Here is a 3982-nt window from a genome sequence, read left to right on the forward strand (position 1 = left end):
TCAGAGACCAGTGCCGGTGCAGGTCCTCACTTGCTGAGCACCGGTCCCCTGGGCCCACTTTTCTTCCTCTATACTTTGTCTCTGTGTCTTATTTCTTTTCTCAGTCTCTCGTCTCCACCTTGTGAGAAATACTCAGAGGTGTGGAGGGGCAGGCCCCCTTCAAAATGATCCACCCACCTCAGCCTCCCAAAGTGCTGGGATTACAGGCATGAGCCACCATGCCCAGCCACATATAACTTATTTCTAAATAACTTATTTAACTAACACCACATGATTTTATGACCCCCTATTTTATGGATGAGAAAAAAGAGGCAAGAGAAGCGATACCAGTTGCTTAGGATTCCCAGCTACCAATTAGTGGAAGCAGAATTTGAACCAAGGGAGTCTCTGGAGCCCTCGTTCCCAATCTCCTTTTCTTCCTCTCCATGTCTTTCTTTCTCCCCCTGCTCCCAGGCCTCCTACATCACACCCTTCTGGACAAAGCTTCACATCTGACATTTTCTTTTTTGGGGTGGACAGAGTCTTACTCTGTCACCGAGGCTGGAGGGCCGTGGCGCAATCATGGCTCATGGCAGCCTCAAACTCCTGGGCTTGAGGGATCCTCCAGCCTCAGCCTCCCAAGTAGCTGGGACTATGGGCATGTGCCACCACACCTGGCTAATTTTTTAATTTTTTGTAGAAATACAGGGGGTGGGGGCATATCTGAAAATTTTAAACCTTCCCTGACTGCCGTGAGCATTTCTGGGTAGAAGCCACTCCACGACCTTACTTTGCTGGCATGAGTGCTGGACAGCAATTTGGCAACATCCTCTAGACCACAAATGTGCATGGCCTTTGGCCCAGCAAATCAGCTTCTGGGAATAAATATGACAGATACTGTTACATACATGGGAAATGCCATGGACATGATGACCCAGGGAAGCACAGTTTGCAAGTACAAAAGGGCTGGAAACACCCAAAAAGCCCATCCCCTGAAGACAGTTTCAAAAATGACGGTGCATTCATGTAATGGAATAGTACACATTTGTGAATGAATGAATGAGGTAGCTCAATATATCTGCCTATGGGAAAATCACCAAGATATGTTGCTAAGTGAAAAACAGAAAGATACAGAATAATGCTACCATTTTATTTTTTAATGGGAGAGGGAAGAATAAGGAAATGGATTCATATTTGCTTAATTACACAAGCTTCCTGATGATCCTTTTGGATCCAGAAGTTTGAAAACCACAGCATCAAGAGGATGCCCATTGGGCATGGTGGCTCACGCCTGTAATCCCAGCACTTTGGGAGGCTGAGGAGGGTGGATCGCCTAAGTTCAGGAGTTCGAGACCAGCCTGGCCAACATGGTGAAACCCCATCTCTACTAAAAACACAAAAAAATTAGCTGGGTATGGTGGTGCAGGCCTGTAATTCCAGCTACTTGGGAGGCTGAGGCGCAAGAATCACTTAAGCCTGGGAGGCGGAGGCTGCCGTGAGCCGAGATCACGCCATTGCACTCCAGCTTGGGAGACAGAGCAAGACTGTCTCAAAACAAACAAACACACACAAAAAATAAGATGCCCATTGGAGATCTCCATTCACTATTTTATCAGATGATATTTCAGCACTTGAGTGAAGAAAATGTCTACAACTGGTCCAAACACTCAAGGAATTTAGACTCTTGACAGAGAAACACACAGAAGCAAGCAGATATGCCCCGAACCAAACTTGCTTTTTCTTCTAAGCCTGCTTCTTCGGAGCAGCCTCTGACCCTCCAGGGCCCTGAGAGGAGTCCCTGGAGCCACAGGAGCTTGGGAGCCCAGAGAAGTGGGGGAATCCCAGATGGTGACAGCATCATCCAGAGGAGGAACATAACGATGGCCACAGATTCCCAATTTGGAAATAACTCAGCAAAACAACACTGACAGAAAATTCAGAGATTTCCAAGAGACTAGCCTCCCTGTTTCCATTTAGAAATTCACCTACATACATCCAGGGTGAGAGACCCCAAGCATCAGATGTGTCATACACAAGCATCAGATCCAAGTTAGAGAGGGCACCCGGGGACAGAAACCTCCAAGCCAGCCAAAAGCCAAAGGAAGGATTTTACAGAAAGATACAGGAATGTGGGGCCAGGCACAGTGGCTCATGCCTGCAATCCTAGCACTTTGGGAGGCCGAGGTGGGAGGATCGCTTGCGGCCAGGAATTCAAGGCCAGCCTGAGCAACATAGCGAGATCCTATCTCTACAACAAATTTAAAAACTAGCTGGGTGTGATCACATATGCCTGTGGTCCCAACTACCCAGGAGGCTGAGGCAGGAGTTGAGCCCAGGAGGTGGAGGCTGCAATGAGCAATGATGGCGCCACTTCACTCCAGCCTCAGTGAAATAGTGAGACCCTGTCTAAAAATAATAATAAAAATAAAAAACATATAAAGATGTCAGAGCACAGGGACCAGAGCTGTTAGTCGGCCTCATGGAGACCCTGGCCAGGACAGCCACCTCTGGGGACCAGGAAGTCTCTCAGTTTCTGTCTCTGAGGGTTTGGCTCTCTGAGTCTCTCTGTCACCTCTCATTTCTCTCTCATCTCCCTCTGTCTATGCTGTGTCTCTATCTCTTTCAATCTCTCTGTCTCTGTCTCCCAGCCCTTATCTCTGAGTGTGTCTGTTTCTCTCTCATTTCTCTCTCTCTCTCTCTCTCTTTCTCTCTCTCTCTTTCTCTCTCTCTCTTTCTCTCTCCCCCCTCCCTCCTCCCCTCTCCCTACTGCAGGCTGGTCCATAACCCTTATCTTCCCCAGACCTGATGGAGTTCTGGTATTAATCTGTTTATGGTCTGTTTCCCTCCACTAGAACACGGTCTTCATTAAAGGCAGAGATTTTTGTCTGTCTTATTTTCTGCTGTATACCCAGTGCCTGGGATACTGGCTGGATCAATAAATATATGCTGAATGAAGAATGAATGAATGACCATTCTCATGAACATTATTATTTGATGCCAACTGTAAAGCAACAATAATAATAATTGTCACTGCCACTGCTGCTATTGTTGGTATATCAGCTTTTTATTTAGTACAAACTATATCCCCGAAATTGAGCTAGGCAGTTTCTTGTTTAAGTTTTACAGACCACGCTGTGAGGTAAGTACTGTTAGTATGCCCTTTTTTCTTTCTTTTTGAGACAGAGTCTCACTCTGTCGCCCAGGCTGGAGTGCAGAGGCCCGATCTTGGCTCACTGCAACCTCTGCCTCCCGGGTACAAGTGATTTTCCTGTCTTAGCCTCCCCAGTAGCTGGGATTACAGGCATGTGCCACCATGCCGGCTAATTTTTGTATTTTTAGTAAAGATGGGTTTTTGCCATGTTGGCCAGGCTGGTCTTGAACTCCTGGACCTCTGGTGATCCTCCTGCCTCGGCCTCCCAAAGTGCTGGGATTACAGGCGTCAGCCACTGCGCTTGCTCCCCCAGCCCCCAAACTTTTTTTTTTTTTTTTGAGACAGGTCTGGCTCTGCCACCCAAGCTGTAGTGTAGTGGCGCAATGGTAGCTCACTGAAGCCTCTAACTCCTGGGTTCACACAGTCCTCCTGCCTCAGCCTCCCAAAATGCTGGAATTCAGGCCTGAGCCACCGCGCCCTACTATGCCCATTTTTCAGATAAAGAATCTGAGGGCCCTCGAGGAGAAACCACTTGCCCAACATGAGCCCTGGTCTTGTCTGACCCCAAAGCCCATGGGAAGTTTAGGCTGCGTGGAAGGACAGCCTGGTGGGCTCAGGATCTGTCCCATCACGAGTTGGAACCTCAGCTCTGCCACTCGGCAACCGCGAGCCGTTAGTAAGTTGCTGAATCTCTCCGTGTGCCTCCGTTTCCTCACCTGGAATGTGGGCGACCTCACACAGGAAGCCGCCTCTTCTAGTGGGCACCGACGGAGCGAGCGCGCGTCTGCAGCGGGACTGAGCGCCGGGAGAGACCTGCGCAGGCGCAGGCGCGCGGGGAGGGCCAGCCTGGGT

This window comes from Homo sapiens, chromosome 19 (genome assembly GCF_000001405.40).
Source record: "Homo sapiens chromosome 19, GRCh38.p14 Primary Assembly".
Lineage (NCBI taxonomy): Eukaryota > Metazoa > Chordata > Mammalia > Primates > Hominidae > Homo > Homo sapiens.